The sequence below is a fragment of the Homo sapiens genome, chromosome 18 (assembly GCF_000001405.40).
Source record: "Homo sapiens chromosome 18, GRCh38.p14 Primary Assembly".
NCBI classification, from domain to species: domain Eukaryota; kingdom Metazoa; phylum Chordata; class Mammalia; order Primates; family Hominidae; genus Homo; species Homo sapiens.
The window spans coordinates 5,179,596-5,198,078 of record NC_000018.10 but is presented as its reverse complement, the minus strand read 5'-3'; the positions used below and the strand labels follow the sequence as shown (position 1 = coordinate 5,198,078).

The following is an 18,483-nucleotide window of genomic DNA, read 5'->3' as shown; positions in this document are numbered from 1 at the left end:
GTGGGCTGTTCACACTGCACAGACATTATTAGGGAATAGATACCTAAAGTGAGCAATGATTAGGAGGATGAAGTGAGCATAAGGCAGTCCCAGTACCTTTAAGGTAGAACTGGGTGTATGAGCGGGGCATGCAGACAGTTTTCAGCTGGGTGAGGATAGGGGAAGAACTGATGTTTCTTGATTGATCTCAGGGCTGTTCTCACACTTGCAGGGGGCTCTGTTGGCTCTTCCTTGTGAAGGGTGTATGCGTTATCTTTCCTGTGCCCTGGCCGGCCTTGCTTTTTCTAAAGTGATGACCTTGAGGACCTTCAAGCTTAGGAGCTTTCAGAGCCGGATTTGCCACCTGGGAGCGGAACCTGATAGTAGCGCCCTCCTCGAGCGCTCCATAGTCACTGTGTCCTTCCTCTTGCTCTCTTCCTGACGTTAGCAGAGGACTGGGACTCGCGAGAGAGGACTCACGGACCTCCAGGACCTATTAACTTGACAGACCCGCCCCTCTATTCGAGCCAGCCCAACTCGGAGAACTCAGAGTCATCCTCGAGAGTAAAGAAAGCTCTTAGAGTTTTTTTTTTTTGACAAATCTATCTTAAATGTCAGTCCAATATCCACGGCGACGAGCCACAGCAGGTAATTAAAAGCAATTCACTGTCCCCTGCCGGGAAGTTTACCTTTCTCTCTCTTGCTCTTCCGACCTTCGTCGCGTGAAAGCGGTGGAAGTGCTTTGCTCCCTAAGCAGCAGTGTACGTCGCCGAGCTGGCACAGGAATGAGGGATGGACTGAGCGGGGATTCACCCTCCTCCTCCCGCCGCCGCTGTGGCCGCATTGTGGAGGCAGAGCGCGCGGCGGCGGCTGGAGCTGCGGCCCCAGGATCTAGCGGCGGGAGCTGTCCGGGGTGCTGACCGCCCCGCCCGCCGCCCGCCCAGCGCGCCCTCCTGCACCGGACCCCGCCAAGTCCGGCCTTCTTCCCATCCTCCGTCTGCCTGTCTTTCTCTCTTAATCTGGGGGCGTAGCGGCTGGAAGAAATCATGGTGTTCGCTCCAGGTACACCGCACCTTGCTTTTTCACCAAGTGTCTAGGAGGGGAGCAGGGTAGAGGACGGAGAGGAGAGGGAAAAAAGGCCTCTTTACCTTACGGCCCATCTGCGCGTTTCGGAGTTACTGTCTGTGCTCATGGGGCGGAGGAGTGCCTCGGCGCGTCGCCTTCGCCCCTCTCCCCAGTCCCGCCCCATCTGTCCTCTAACAATCTCCAGCCCTTCCTCGCCCTCGTCCCGCTGCTTCTCTTCCCATCTGGCTCCTCCACACCCCTTCCGAGCTCAGGAGCCTTAAGAACTGGGACTTTCGCCAGCAGCACCGGCACCTACACGGGCAAGAGAGTGGAGAGGTGGGGCAAAGAGTAGTGGGCTTCGGGCTACTTGCGTGGGAATCTCCCTCACTGCTACTTCCCCCTCCGCAGAATTGGCAAAGTGACCCGGGTCCTCCTGGCCTCCCGAGGAGAAGGAGGCGAAGTGGGCGAAGCCAAGGGGAGTAGGACGAAGGGCAGAGGAGCGATACTTCTTAAGGAATTAGACCTGAAACTCCGACCGGAGGCTGCAGCACAGAGGCAGCTACTGCGGCGCCGCTGGAGGTTGCCGTGTCTTTTTGGAGCAGGCGGTGAAGGACCTTGGTCCCTTTGCTGCTCTCCGTGGCTACTAGTTGGCGAAGAGTCAGATTTGTCTGCGGTTGACCGGCTTGGCGGCGTGTGCGTGCGTGCGCATTTGAGTCCGCCCCACTGGAGCAAGGGAGGCCAGGCTAATCGAGGAAGCGGGGAAAAGCGTGGTCGTTGTGAACGTCCGACGCTGTCTCTAGGGGTAGATCCAAAGTATTTCTCTCTCACGCATTTTAGGGTCTGATTTCGTTAAAGACTGCTGTGGAAAACAGGGAGTGGGGAAGGCTGGAGGGGCCTAGAACTCTCTAGCTTTGTTCCTGGGGTCTTTAACTTGAAAGATTGGCATGTATTTGCTGTGGTCATGGGCTTCAGATGGCTGGGGAGAAAAGGCGTAATGCATTTTTTTTTAAAGGGAAGAATTGAGTCTTTTCTTCAAAAAATTCAATTAGCAAAACTTGAGAAGAGCAAGTCAGTCCCCTCCCCCTCCCCCTCAGAATGCTAGCTGGGGAGGGAGGGATGAGTTTCTGTAGGCTCTGGCTTTACCACAGGCAGTGGTTCTTAGAGGAACGCCTTAAAGGAATGCCCAGGAGCTCTTCCCATGCCCATCCTAAATAACTCAAGGGAGGAAATTGTTCCATATAGCAAAGGACATTCAATCAACACTGGAGCAAGGAAGTTGGAAAACAGCTCTTTGCTGCATTTATACAGCACTTAACACTTTACAAAGCAGTTTCATGCTGCTATCTCATTTGATCTCCTAATTACCCTGAGAGTTAAGGAATATCATTCCTACTCTACCATCCCCAGGGAGGCTGGTTCCAGATAATCTTGCTAGTCTCTAATGGAGTTTTCTGACCTCGAATTCTGTCTTTTTCTCCCACAACCTTTCTTCCTGACAAAATATCTCACTGGCTCCAGGGGTAGATGATTTTTGGTCCAAGGTCAGATGTAGCCAGAGACTCAGCATATCCTTTCCATTCCAAGGAGGGGAGGGATATGGTGTTGTACAAGAGTTAGGGTTGTTGCGTGATGTTAACTAGGCATTTTCTAAAAGCAAGATCGTGAGTGATGGCCACTGTAATGAACAGTGGGGAATTTCTGGAGTAGACTGGCTTGGTTTAAAGAGCCCACAATTTGGACAGGACTTTACTTTTCCATTTTACTTTCAAGTTTTGTATTAGTGTTTTGTTCTGTGTGGAAAGTAGAAGTTATTCATAACTGTCAGAGATGGCGTGAATTGACCTGGATAGGATAGATACAGAAACGTCTGGGGAAACTTTTTTTTTCATCACTTCTTCAATTTTGGGGTTCTCTTGAAAAATCATAAGCATTTGGGACAATAAGAACAGGATGCTAAAAATACTGTGTCAACTTACCTTCTCATCTATGGATCATTTGTTTTCTAATTCGTATAGTGATGTGTATTATTCTGAAAGAAAAGCAGAACAATGAATTGCTTTTGAACTCCGCCAGATTTTCAGCACTGCAACCTCATTTCTTGCCTATTGCTTTTCTAAATCTCTATAATAATCTGGGAATCCAGATGTTTTGTACTAGTTAAAGGAAATACACTCCCACCCCTTTCTTTCAAGCTAACCTAACACTCAGAAAGGGAAGAAACAGGGTCATGTGCTAAGATCACTCCAAAATTATTAAAAGGGTGTTATATAAGCCAAGATGAATATAACAATAAATTAACAAGGAGCTATTCATAAAATTGGGTCAGTGGGTACTGTGCCCTTCAAAACACATTGTAGCTTTTTTGGATTTTAGCACAGGAGGGCAAGAACCCTGAGGTACAGTTCTGAACTTGCCTCAGCTAACTGGTCTCCCTTTGAATGATTCTCCTGGCTCTTTACCTTAAAGGCAAAGGTGAAGAGTGACAGATATTTGTAGAACAAGTTCTAGTCCAGAAGTACAATGGAATGAGGGGGAATTAGAATGAGACTTTATTAACCCTATTTAGGATTTAGTCTTATATGCCATAACATATTCTTACATTTTTTTGTTTCAGTTAGTCTATAGATTGTAAAGAATACAGCTTAAATTGGACAGGGTATTTGGGTTGTTTTTCAGTTTGCATGAGGCAGACAGTTCAATTCTATTTTTTCCTCTTTCTCTTATTATTAATAGACTATAATTTAGGAGGGTTTTAATTTTGTGCATGCCAGTTTTCAAACCCCTTGAAGGTAAGGGGCATGACTACTAATTTTTTAAGGAGTTAATTACTTGAAGCCCATCATTTATTTATGCTTCTGTCTAAAGGAACTATACGAAATTATTAACAGTTAAATGAGGTATAAAGTATACATATATATTAATTTCTGTGTAAGTACCATATATACCTAAATAGAAGTTAAACTAAGCTAGGCTACATGACTTAGGCTAAAGACTAAAATGAGGCCTCTTGCTTCCTTTTCCTAAATTGCTTTATTCCTCCTCCTCCCACCCCCATAAACTGAACGTAGAAAATTTCAAAAGCAATATGAGAAAGCTAAGAAGCATACTACCAGGGCCAAAGGAAAGGGGGTGACACAACCAATATGGAGAAATATATTTGTCCCATAATACTAAACTGATCCAGGTTATTTAGGCTGTGGCTATAGCAATATCTTACATTCAGGAGGAAAAACATTTCTGGGAGGAGTTCTGTACTTCTAATACAGTGCTCTTGGTTTTGTGGGGAAATATCAAGGAATTATTACTAATTTGTAGGCAAAGTCAATGAGGAACAAGGAAGAAAGACCACTGACCATTGGTATTAAAGGTGACAAAGTACACAAGAGAATGTCAGGATATTTCTTGGCCTAATTCCAGGAAGAGAAAGAGGGAATGTTCACAAATTCAAATGCCTTTTCAGTACCATGGTTTCACCCAAAGAATTCCAGACTCTGAACAATCAGGTTTCTTTTCCTAAATTCCTTCTTCCTTGAGGAAGAGCTAAGAAGAAACAGAGTGTGAGGTGGAAAGTGAGGGCAGAAGTTACCTTATCCCTGGGCCATTCCCCACTTTCTTTCATGATTAATATATAATTCAGGGATTAGTCTATCTTTCTTGTGGATAGGCCTAATATATACTTGATTTGCTTGGATTGCCTTCAAGTCAGGTGAATTGCCAACATAAAAATATTTCTTTTCTTGCATAAAAATTAGGCAAGGTATGATAACAAGGATTTCATGGAGGAATAAAAATGGTGTAATTGTAAGCAAAAAGACAGCCAGTCTCTTGACATCTAAGCTTCATCTGAAAAATATTTCGCACCAATATTTCTAGAAAGAATTTCCAAATACATATAAGAAAGTATTTATTGCAAGGTATTTATAACTTTTATTCATTTATATAAACCTCTTAACAAATTCCTGACACATTGATAAATAAACAAATTATATATCTGACTGTCATAACTGTGAGGTTTACAATGTGCCAACACAAAAAAATTCTTTTCTGTTAGCATAGTCTTTCAACTTCTATTTATGTATTATTTTAAAAATTAACATACAGAAAAATTGGCTTTTTTGGCATAGAGTTATATGAGTTTCAACATATGTATAGATTCATGTAATGACCACAAAACAGTTTCATTGCACTTAGTTTTTCTCTTGTGCTACCCCTTTGTAGTCAAACCGTTCCCCCTTCCCCCTCACCCCACCAATCTCTGGTGACCACTGATCTCTTTCCTATCCCCATGGATTTGCCTTTTCAGACTGTTGTATAAATGAAACCATACCAAGTTTTAGACCACTGGGAGTGCTTCAACCCCATACCGTAGATAGAATGGCTTACAAATCATAGAAATTTATTTCTCACAGTTCTGGAGGCTGGAATTCCAAGTCCAAGATGTTGGCAGATTCGATGTGTGGAGAGGGCCCACTTTCTCATAGACAGCACCTTCTGTAACCCCAATACTTTGGGATGCCAAGGCAGGAGAATTGTTTGAGGCCAGGGAAATTTTAGAACATAGTCCTTGTCTCTACCAAAGAAAAGAAAAAGAAAGAAAGAAAGAAAGAAAGAAAGAAAGAAAGAAAGAAAGAAAGAAAGAAAGAAAGAAAATTAGCTCTGTGTGGTTGCACATGCCTGTAGTTCCAGCTACTAGGGAGAATGAGCTGGGAGGATCCTTTTTGAGGTAGGATTGAGCCACTGCACTCCAGACTGGAAGACAGAACAAGATCCTTTTCCTAAAAACAAACAACAACAAAACCTAATTGACTATATTTATGAGCATCTATTTTTAAACCTTTAGTCTGTTGAATTAATCTATATGTGTGTCCTTTCATTAAGACCACACTGTCTTTATCACTATAGTTTTATACAAGTGGAGCATGCCTAATCCAAAAATCTGAAATCCAAAATACTCCAAAATCTGAAACTTTTTTGAGCACTGACATGACGCCACAAATGGAAAACTCCACACATACTTAACACAAACATTGTTTGATGCACAAAATTATTTAAAATATCATTGAAAGCTACCTTCTGTGCGTATAAGATGTATATGAAATATATGTGTATAAGAAATATATGCGTATAGGCTATGTGCATAAGATATATATGAAATATGAATGAATTTTGTATTTAGACGTGAGTCCTAGTCACAAGATACCTCATTATGTATATGCAAAGATTCCAAAATCTGAAAAAAATCCAAAATCTAAAATGCTTCTTGCCCTTAGCATTTTGGATAAGGAATACTCAACCTGCAGTAAGTCTTAAAACCAAATAGTGTAAGTCCTCCAACTTTTTTTTTTCAACATTATTTTGGCTACTGTAGTTCCTTTACCTTTCCATATAAATTTTAGAGTCAGGTTGCCTATATCTACATAAAATCCTGCCTAAATTTAGATGGAATTTCCTGAAATCTATGGATCAGTGTGTGGAGAATGAACTTCTTAACTATGTTGAGCCCCAATTCATAAACAGATGTGTCTCTTAGTTTATTTAGCTCTTCTTCATTTCATCAGAATTTTGTAGCTTTCAGCATACAGATCTTGCATATGTTGCTATATTATACCTAAATGTATCTTTTGGGGGGAGCTATTGTACATGTAATTTAAAAACAATTTGATGTCCGCACATTCATTGCTAGTTTATACTATGTATGGTTCAATTTTGCATGTTGACCCTGTTTTCTATGTTCTTGCTTCACTCTTTTATTAGTTGTAAGAGATAAGTTGTAGATTCCTTAGGATTTTTAAATGTAGGCAGGTACTTTGAAAAAAGTTTTATTTCTTCTTTTCTAATTTTACGCCTTTTTGTACAGACTAGTGCTTCTAGTACAATATTAAATAGGAGTAATAAGAAGACATTCTTGCCTTGTTTACAATCTTAGGGGAAAGCATTCAGTCTTTTACCATTAAGCATGAAATTAGCTGCAGTTTTGTTTTGTTGTGGATACTTTTTATTAGGTTAGAGAAGTTTCCTTCTATTCCTAGTTTGCTGAGAGATTTTATCATCAATAGATGTTGAATATTTTCAAATGTTCCCTCATCACCAATTTACATATTGAAACCCTAACCTCTACTGTGATGGTATTTGCAGTAGGGCCTTTGGAACATAATTAGGGTTAGAAGAGGTCGTGGGGGTGGGACCCTTATAAATGGAACTAGTAACTTTACAGAAAGAGACATGAGAGATATTATCTCTTTCTCTGCCATATGGGAATACAGGAAGAAGGCATTCATATGCAAGTTAGGAAGAGAGCCACACACCAGGAACTGAACTGGTTGACACTTTGATCTTGGACTTCCTAGCCTCTAGAACTGTGTAAAATAAATGTCTAAAGTTTAAGCTACCCAGTCTATGATATTTTTATTATAGTAGCACAAACAGATTGGGCTACTATTAGAAAATGATGTGAATTTTTCAATTTTTTCTGCTTATATAAGACCGATTGTATAATTTCTTTTTTAAATGTTTCCGTCACCAGTAAAACTATATGGTTATAGAGTTTTGTTCATAGGGAGGTCATTAATTATAAATTCAATTTTTAGTAAATATAGGTTTATTTTGTTTATCTTGAGTGAATTTCAGTAGCTTTTTAGTAAAGTTGCTTATTTCATTTAATTTGTTGAATTTTCATGAATACAGTTGTTTGTAATATTCTCTTTTCTATTTAATATACATGGGTTCTATAGTAATAGCCCCTGCAAAACTCATGTTGAAATTTAGTTGCCATTATAACAGTATTAAGAAGTAGACCTTTAAGAGGTGATTAGGTCATGAGGATTCTCCCCTCATAAGTGGATTAATACCACTATTGCAAGAGTGAGTAATTAGTTATCGCAGAAGTGAGCTGTTGATAAGAGGATGATTTCAGCCCCATTACTCTCTCTGTCTCACATGCTTGCTTTTGCCTTCCACCATGGGGTGACCCTTGCCAAATATGAACACCATACTCTTGGACTTCCTGGCATCCAGAATCGTGAGCCAAATAAATTTCTTGTCCGCATAAATCACTAAGTCTGTTGTATTTTGGTATGGCAACACCAAATGAACTAAGACAGAAAATTGATACTGAGAAGTTGGACTGTTGCTATAAAAATACCTGAAAATATGGAAACAACCTTGGAACTGAGTAATGAGTAGGAGCTGGAAGAATTTGGAGGAGCAGACTAGAAAAGTCTGTATTGCTGTGAACAGAGCATTAAAGGTGATTCTTGTGGGGGCTCAGAAAAAAAAAAAGAGAGCTGTAGGAAAAGTCTGAAATTTCTCAGAGATTGTTTAAGTGGTTGTGACCAGAATGTTGGTAGAAATATGGATGGTAAAGGATAAGGCCTCAGATGAAAATGAAGAACAAGGGGTTGAAAATTGGAGTAAAGGCCATCCTTGTTATAAAGTAGCAAGGACATGGACTGAATTGTGTCCATGCCTGAGAGCTTTACAGAATGCAGAATTTAAGAGTGATGAATTAGGATATCTGGCATGGTTACTTTTAATAGCATACAGTGAGATGTAAGAGGAAAGGAATGACTTAAAGACAAAATTTATAATTAAAATGGAAGCAGAGCAGAAAAATTTGAAAAATTAAGAGCCTGGCTATATAAAGAGTGAAAAAGTGTGTTTGTTAGAGAATGCAGAGGGCAGAATGCTGTGGCCAAGTCATCATTTGCTAGAGAGATTACAATGGATAGAAGGATGCCAGGTGCTATTCATAAAGACAATGGGAGAAAGATTACAAAGGCATTTCGAAGATCTTCTAGGTTGTCCCTCTTATCCCTGGCTGAGAGCTTTAAGAGGGCAGAATGGTTTTGGGGGATGGGGATGAGGTGCCCTCCACAGGCTTGCTGCACAGAGTTGTCTTGGGTCTCTGCTCCCTACATTTCAGCATAACTCTCCTTGGCTGCTCCAGCCATGGCTCAAATGGGCTCAGGTGTAGCTCTACCTGCTGCTCTAAAAGGTACAAGCTGTAAGCCTTGGTGGCATCTACATGAAGCTAATTCTGCGAGTGCAAGAATACAAAAGCTGTGAAGGCATGCATTTTTCCACCTAGATTTCAAAGAAAGTCATAATTGTAAGGTCAGCTGAGAGAGAATGGACAAAAGAGAGAGGAGACCCAAGTTCAGGCAAGCCTTTATTAACCTGCTGGCTGCCCTCTTAACAGTCAGAGGAGCAGCTCTGAGCTTACAAAATGAGGGGTTTATATTGGGTAGGGGAGTTTGGGGGAGTTCTTTGGTATGGCCACATCCCGGGGTTGTTTGCTGGTTAATTTTGCCACATATCACTTTGTGACATTTATGGTAGAATTTACAGGAGGGTGTAGGTAAAATTTGTTTATGCTTCCCATGACATCCCCCTGTGCAGTCTGGATGGCTTGTAATTAGGGTTACAAGCAAGGGTTTGCAGCAAGGCCTGATAGGTAAAGTCTGCTGGCTTCACTGTGGCACCTACATAAGGGCTTAGAAGTGTAAAGGGGCTCAGGGGGAAGGATGGGTGGCACAGAGAAGAGTTGCAAAGCATAATGGGGAGGGGTGGGCAGCACGGAGAGGTTTAGGGGAAGTGTCAGCTGTACCAAGAAGCTTTTTTGGGGAGGTTTGTCCTTAACAATAATCAACCTTGGTGCCCAGGAAGAAACTTGCCCATGGGTGGAGCTGCCATAGAATTCCTCAGTAGGGCAATGCCAAGTGGATCCATGGAAGTGAGGCCACCCCTGAGACCACAGAACTGTAGGGTTACCAGCATAAAATGCCATCCTGGGAAAGATTCAGGCAAAAGACTTCAACCCAAGAGAGCTGAAGCATGAACTGAGCCCACCAAAACCATGAGGGAAAGGTTGTCCAAAGCCTTGAGGCCCAACTCCTGTCCCAGGGTGCCTAGGATTCAGGACATTGAGTCAAAGAATATTATTCTTTGGCTTTAACATTCAATGTTGTTTTCTGTTGGGTTTTGGACTTACATGGGGGTCAGTTAACCCTTTTTTTCTGGCCTATTTCTCCCTTTTGGAATGGGAATGCCTATCCTATGCATGTCCTACCATTGCATTTTAGAAATAGGTAACTTGTTTTGATTTCACAGGTTCACAGCTAGAGGGAATTTGCCTCAAGGTAAATCACACCTTGAATCTCAGCCATCTTTGATTTAGATGAGACTCTGGACTTTGAACTTTTGAATTGATGCTGGAATAAGTTAAAACTTTTGGGACTATTGGGATAAAATGAATATACTTTGCATTGTGAGAAGAACATGAGTTTTGAGGGACTAGGGGTGGGATCCGGTAGTTTGGATGTCCCTCCAAAACTCATGTTTAAATTTAACTGCCATTGTAACAACCACATTAAGAGGGGGGACCTTTAACAGGTAATTAAGTTGTGAAGTTTGTGTCCTCATGAATGGGTTAATGCCATTATTGTAGGAGTGGGTTAGTTATTGCAGGAGTGGGCTCCTGACAAAAGAATAAGTTTGGCTCCATTTCTCTCTGTTTCATATATGTGCTTCTGCCTTCCACCTTCCCACCATGGGATGATCCTCACCAGATGCCAGTGCCATGATTTTGGACTTCCCAGCATCCAGAACCATAAGCCAAATTAACTTATGTTCTTTGTAAATTGCCAAGTCTGTAGGTATTATGTTATACCAGCAGAAAATGGACAAAGACATTTCCCTTTCATTCTGGATATTAGTAATCTGTGTCTTATCTGGTTTTCCTTGTCTGCGTGGCTACAGGTTTATTAGTTTTTAAAATCATTTCAAAGATACATCTCTTAGTTTCATTGATTTCTTTATTGTTTTTCCTGTTTTCAATTTTGTTGATTCCTGCTCTTTATTATTTCCTTTTTTCTTCTTGCTTTGACTTTGTTTTGCTCTTGTTTTTCTTGACTTAAGACAAAACTTATATTGTTTATATTAGATCATTCTGTTTTCTAAAATAAGCAAATTTAATGCTATAAATTTCCAGCTAAGCATTGCTTTAGAGTATTCTAAAAATTTTGATGTTGTATTTTCATTTTCATTCATTTCAAAATATTTTCTAATTTCCCTTGAAACCTCCTTTTTGTCCCATGGATCATTTAGAAGTGTATTGTTTAGCCTCCAATTATTTGGGAATTCTCTGGATGAATTTTTGTTATTGATTTCTAGTTTCATTCTATTATGATTGGATAATAAACTTGCAATTGTTTCAGTTGTTTTAAATTTGGTAAGGTATGTTTATAAGCCAGAATGTGGTCTATCTTGGTGAATGTTTTACATGCACTTTAAAACAATGTATATTTTACTCTTTCAGGTGGAATGCTCTATAAATGTCATTTTGATACAGTGAGTTGAAGGTGTTGTTTACCTCTTTTATATCCTTACTGATATTCAGCCTACTTGGCATATTAATTACTAGAAGAGGAGTACTAATACCTCTAGAAAAAATTGAGGATTTTTCCATTCCTCATTTTGGTTTACCACTTTTAGTGGTATGTATTTTGAAGCTCTCTCATTAGATGCATGTACACTTGAGATTGTTATGTCTTCTTGGTGAATTGGCCATTTTATTGTTAGAGAGTGTCCCTCTTTATTTCTAGTAACCTCATTCTGAATGTTATTTAGACTGATAATAAATCCAGTGCTTTTTTTCAACTTTTATTTTCAGTTCAGGAGTACATGTTCAAGTTTGTTACACAGGTAAACTGCATTTCACAGGGGTTTGGTGTACGGATTATTTTGCCATCCAGGTAATAATCATTGCACTTGATGAGCAGTTTTTTATACTCTCCCTCCTCCCACTCTCCACCCTCAAGTAGGCCCTGGTATCTGTTGTTCCCTTCTTTGTGTCCATGTGTACTCAATATTTAGCTCCCACTTATAACTGAGAACATGCAGTATTTGGTTTTCTGTTCCTGTGTTAGTTTACTTATGATAATGGCCTCCAGCTCCATCCGTGCATCTATGGAGCTCCAGCTCCTACAGCTCCAGCTGCATCCATGTTGCTGCAAAGGACATGATGACATTCTTTTTTATGGTTGTGTAGTATTCCATGGTGTATATATACCACATTTTGTTTATCCAGTCTACTGTTGATGGGCATTTAGGTTGATTCCATGTCTTAGCTACTGTGAATAGTGCTGTGATAAACATACACCTGCATGTGTGTTTATGGTAGAATGATTTATATTTCTTTGGGTATATACCCATTAATACGATTGCTGGGACAAATAAGTTCTTTGAGAAATCACCAAACTGCTTTCCACAATGGCTGAACTAATTTACACTCCTACCAGGAGTGTATGAGCATTCCCTTTTCTCTGAAACCTCACCAGCATCTGTTATTTTTGTCTTTTTAAGAATAGTCACTCTGATTGTTGTGGGATGGTACCTCGTTGTTTTAATTTTCATTTCTCTAGTGATTAGTGATGTTGAGCATTTTTTATGTGCTTATTGGCTACATGTATGTCTTCTTCTGAAAAGTGTCTGTTCACTTCCTTTGCCCACTTTTTAATGGGGTTGTTTATTTTTTGCTTGTGAATTTGTTTAAGTTCCTTGTAGATTCTGGATATTAGACCTTTGTTGGATGCATAGTTCGTAAATATTTTTCTACCATTTTGTAGGTTGTCTGTTTACTATGTTGATAGATTCTTTTGCTGCGCAAAAGCTCTTTAGTTTAATTAGGTCATGTTTGTCAATTTTTGTTTTTGTCGCAATTGTTTTTGGCATCTTCTTCATGAAATCTTTGCCAGGGCCTATGTCCCAAATGGTATTTCCAAGGTTATTTTCCAGGGTTTTTATAGTTTTAAGTTTTACATATAAGTCTTTAATCCATTTTGAGTTGATTTTTTATATAATGCAAGGAAAGGGTCTAGTTTCAATCTTCCACATATGGCTAGGCAACTATCCCAGCACCATTTATTGAATAGAAAGTCCTTTCCTCACTGCTTGTTCTTGTCAACTTTGTTGAAGATCAGGTGGTGGTAGGTGTGCAGTAATATTTCTGGGCTCTCTATTCTGTTCCATTGGTTTATGTGTCTGTTTTGGTACCAGTATCATGCTGCTTTGGTTATTTGCAGCCTTGTAGTATAGTTTGAAGTTAAATAATGTGATGCCTCCTGCTTTGTTCTTTTTGCTGAGGATTACCTTGGCTATTCAGGACCATTTTTTGGTTCCATATGAGTTTTAAAATAGTTTTTTTCTAATTCTGTGAAGAATGTCATTGGTAGTTTGATAGGAGTAGCATTGAATCTGTAAATTGCTTTGGGCAATATGGCCATTTTAACAATATTGGTTCTTCCTATTCTTGAGCATGGAATGTTTTTCCATTTGTTTGTATCACCTCTGATTTCTTTGGGCAGTGTTTTATAATTCTTGTTGTAGAGATCTTTTACCTCCCTGGTTAGCTGTATTCCTAGGTATTTTATTCTTTTTTGTGTCTATTGTGAATGGGATTGCATTCTCAATTTGGCTCTCAGCTTCGAGGTTATTGGTGTATAGAGATGCTACTGGTTTTCATGCATGGATTTTGTATCCTGAACTTTGCTGAAGTTGTTTATCAGAACTAGGAGCATTTGGGCAGCGACTACAGAATTTTCTAGGGATAGAATCATATTGTCTGCAAACAGACAGAGTTTGACTTACTTTCCTCCTATTTGATGTCTTTTATTTATTTCTTTTGCCGATTGTTCTGGCTAGGACTTCTAGTACTATGTTGACTAGGACCGGCTTTCTTTTGGTTAGTGTTTGAATGATATTGTGGATCCTCATTATTTGTGAATATCATATTTGCAAATTTGCCTACTCCCTAAAATTTATTTGTAACCCTCAAATCAGTGCAGCACTTTTGCTGTCATTGTGGGGCATGTGCAGAGTGGCAAAAAAATTGAGCCACCTAACACATTCCTAGCTAAGGTTGAACACTCTCTCTTTGTTCCAGCTCTGATACTATAAACAAATGTTCTTTTCGTGTTCTATTAGTGCCATGTGTTTCATATTTTGGTGTTTTTTGTTAGTGATTTCACTGTTTAAAATGACTCTTGAATGTAGTGCTGAAGTGTTTCCAAGCACAAGAAGCCTGTGATGTGCCTTATGGAGAAAATACATGTGTTAGGTCAGCTTGTTCAGCCGTGAGTTACAGTACTATTGGTTGTGAAATCAATGTTAATGAATCAACAGCATATGTTAAGTAAGGTATCTTTAAACAGAAACATATATTAAACAAGGTTGTGTATTTATTGCTCAATTGTAAAAAATATTGTGATAGAGGCTCATGGGAAACTAATCCTGATTTTTCCTAAGAGCAATGGTTTCATATGATCTAATTAAGTGTTTGCAGTAACTTTATAGAAAATAACAACTGTGAATAACAGGAATCAACTTTGCATTATTTTCCTTCATTTTTACTTTTAAACTACCTTTTGCATTATAGTCAACACTGGGTTTTTTTTTAAATTTTGCTTTTTAAATCAACTGCATACAGTTTTAAAGGTGGTTTAAGTTGGCTACTGACTGCCTACATGTCTTTCTTCTCTAATTACTATATTTTCTGATTTTCCATTACCATTTAAAATTGAATTATATTTCATCATTTGAAAATTTTTGCTGTAGTTTCAGAAATTTTAGAAAGCATAATTAACCAAATTAAAATATAAAAATCACTCACAGTATCATTCAACTAGTCATTACTAATATGTTGAATATAATTTCCTATCCTTTGTCTGTATGAATATATCTTTCTATTTTTGTAACAAAAATTTTATCCTGACATGCATATTATTTTTTGATGTGATTGTTTACTCAATGTACTCTTAATTTTTTCATGTCATTCAGTTGTCTTTTATGTATCATTTTTAAAAAAGACATAGAGCAAAAGGTGCCATTATTTATATTTTTCCTTTCAGATGATAAAAGTGAGGCTCTAAATGCCTGACCTATTTTAGTTTGCAGAACCAGGATTTGAAAGTTGGGCCACTTTTTTCTGTATGCAGCACAGTTATTAACTAGGAGGCAACAAACAATTTGCAAAATAGAGTTAGGGACAAAAAAAAATATGTGCACTAGGTAAAACTGGTGTCTTTAGAAAGAATCTTCCGTATGTCCAGCACCTTTTCTTCAGAGTTAGAGGATATAAGATGCTCTTCTCTCTTGCAGAGAAATGGACTCTGTCCTTGCACAGTTCCTAGATTCTTCATGTACTCCTGGATGCTGCTGTCAGGGATGGAGAGTAAAAGAATAGACAGCCAGAATCACCAAAAGTTGTCTAGAAGACTAAGAAGACCTAATAAATTCACACCGTGCTTTGTAGTTTTGAAAGCATTTATGTTAATTAAGTGCCACATGCATGAGCTTTCTTGAGGTGAAAATCAATGGAATTGGACTAGTTATAGTCTCTCCTTCTCTATAAAACTGATAAGAGTATTTCAGTTATTCCATAGCAATTCAAATATGAAGCAAAGTTGGTTGTTGCAGAAGCTTGGGTTTGGGGACACATAGGTCAGGGTTCAAACAACTAATTTCTGTCACTTTCACATTTAGTGGCATTGGGTAAATTATCCAAGCTTGCTGATATGCCTATTTGAAAAATGAATATCATAATATCTGTTTTCCAGAGTGGTAGTGAAAATAAAGATGAATTGCCTAGCCCACGGTCGGCTAAATGGAAGCTATTACTGATGTTATTGTTGTTTTAAAGAGGAATAACTAATAATGTGCATCTTATATACATTTGCATGTGGATGATCTCAACATTGGATCATCAGTTAGGAGCTAAAGAGTTGATTCTTTCTGTGGAAAAAGACCCAACTTACTGGATCACTATGTTACCTGTGCAGACATTAAAACTTTAAAGCAAAATGCTACAATAAGCTAGGCTGATGATAAAGCAGATGTCTGAGTGCATCCTGAGATGAATAAGTTATGAATCATGGAAAGTTGCTGTTTAAAGGCTAGCAGCTGCATGCTTGAAAGCAGATGGCCATCTTGCTGATCTGAATAATTCTGATCTCGTCTATATTTAAAAGCTGAATACGTTTAGGTATGAGGATGAACGTGTAAGTACACTCAATGGCCCTGAATGATGATTTTCTGGTGAGGGTATAGTGCATTATGTTTTTAATACTTCATTACTTAGGTAGGGTCAATTTGTATTGTGAGGTATTAGGACCTACATTACCATCCTGTGGTCTTATATCAGAGCCAGATACATATATTCCTGGATACTATTCTTTGATCATTATCTTTGGTCTTGAATGTTCTTAGGAAGAAGCCACAAACCTTGTTGGTGAAACAACCATGCAGTCACTAGCTAGGGATTAGGAGAGGGTTGGTGTTTTCTTCAAAAGCAGTGACTTGCTATGTGACTTTGAGTTAGTTAATATAACTCCTGTGCCTCTTTTAAAATCTTGTTCCACATCATCATCTTCAGCATCCTTAGAGGTTTAGCATCTTAGCTCTCACTAATGACCTTTACTGGGCAGATGAGATGAATGTAAGAAAAGGCAAGGGAGCTAACATTTGTATAAGACCTACTCTGTGCCACATGTATCACATGTACTTTTCAGCAAGGAACGACTTTATATAAGTAAATGCCAAAGTAGAACTGTCTTTCTTTAACATGTGGCTAAAATGCTGTTCCATATTCCAAATAGTCACAGCTGATGGATTTGCTGCAATGAGCAGACAAAAGTAAAGTGCCTTCTCTCAATTCCTTTAAAAAATTATACTTCTTTTATTTTCTTTTTGAGATGAGGTCTTACTCTGTCACCCAGGCAGGAGTGCAGTGGTGCAATCACAGCTCACTGTAGCCTCAACCTCCTGGTCTCAATCAGTCCTCTTACTTCAGCCTCCTGAGTAGCAGGGACTACAGCCATGTGCCACCATGCCTGGCTAAATTTTACTTTTTTTTTTTTTAAGAGATGGGGTTTCACTCAGTGACCAGACTGATCTTGAACTCCTAGGCTCAAGGGATCCTTCCATCTCACCTTCCCAAATTGTTGCTATTATAGGCATGAGCCACCACACCTGGCTGTATTTTCTTTTTTTCAAACTAAGAGAAGTGTTGCTGTGGCACTCCAGAAATACCATGAAATTATGAATGTAATATCTCTATTCTGGACAAGTATAATGAGTCTGTTTGACATTTAGACAGGAGGGCTCTATGGAATCCACATCTTGTGTTGCCTGACACAAGTTGTTAATTTTTATCTCCATGGAATTTATTTCTAACATTCTTGTGCACTTATTCCTGCCTTCCCATTTTATTTTTGCATTTTGGGGGGAATAAAAAAGGAAATTATGTGTTTATTGCCATACTGTAGAAGAGATTTTAATCACTCTCCAACCAGGGAATTTAGAATGAAGTTCCCTACAGCCTTAATTGCAATCCGACTCATGCTTCAGAGTAGATTATTTCACCACCTGATCAGGTCATGCTATACAAGTTAATAATTAACAGTTACTTTACTCTAAAAATAACTTACGTCAAGAAGCACAACATGTAAGGCTTCTCTTATCTTGCCATTCTTTGTTGTGCCTATAGGACAGTGCTAGCTGAGTGGAGCTGTTGGCCATCAGTAGAAAGAACTGGTATGACCACGCCTCCATGTACCTGCCTTAGACAGGGGCAGGTCTCTCCCCATGAACCTCTCAGTCACATGCACCTGGCCTGGGAAAAGAGAAAACAGCAGCCTTGGTGGGAATGGAGCTGAAGATATCAGTTAAGGCCATAAATAGGTGGGCAGTATGGAGGATAAACACTTTATATAATTTGATTCATTTATTTCACAAATATTTGCTGCCTATCTTCTGTGAACTATGTACTCTGCTAGGTAGTAGGCAGGACTTTAATATAAAGAAGGACACTAAAGTGTCAGAGTGCTGTGATTGAAGGGCAGAGAACAAAGCAGGTTGGAGAGGAAGATGGGTCAATTCTTTTGGGAAGAAAGTGAGTGTCTTGCTCTGGGTCTGAGTCCTCCTGGGAAGCATGCAGTGGGGGTGGCTAAAGCTGTGCTCCAGTAAAGAAACCCTTTTCAACTGATAATCCCTTAGCACCACTGGGCCAAGCATGGGGCTCTGTTTGTGAGTGCTGGAGTGTGGGATGGGGACAGAGAAGCTACTGAAGGTGAAAGAGAGTCCTTTTGTCATGTCCTTTTAGGTACGTAAATATACCTTATAAAGAAATGGCCTTCAGTGCCTTTAAACAACAATAAAGATGTCCTCGAGGAAGGAGCATATTAAAGAGCTGAAAAGAAACTTTCTAAGGGGAGCAGATGTATTTGATGTGTGTCCTAACTTAAGCCCTTGAAGTTTATCTTCTACTTGAAGTTATCTTCTTTTAATGACCACTGCCACCACCAGAACAGGATGAAGGTGTGCCAGGCTCCTGATTTATCAAATAACTAAAACTAGAACTACCATTAGATCTAGCAATCCCACTAC

At 39.3% G+C, this 18,483-nt stretch overlaps 1 protein-coding gene across 2 annotated transcripts in view; it reads left to right on the top strand.

The window, feature by feature from the left end:
- The first annotated feature begins 387 nt into the window (after nucleotides 1–387).
- AKAIN1 (A-kinase anchor inhibitor 1) overlaps nucleotides 388–18,483 on the top strand; it is a 54,781-nt gene continuing 36,685 nt past the window's right edge. Inside the window, exon 1 of one of the 2 annotated variants that reach the window (NM_001330553.2) lies at nucleotides 388–627. In NM_001330553.2, the coding sequence (NP_001317482.1) occupies nucleotides 591–627 (37 nt within the window). In that variant the 5' untranslated portion in view covers nucleotides 388–590. Of the gene's footprint in view, nucleotides 628–821; nucleotides 1,042–18,483 lie in introns of those variants that run through there. The other variant, NM_001145194.2, reaches the window with a different exon arrangement.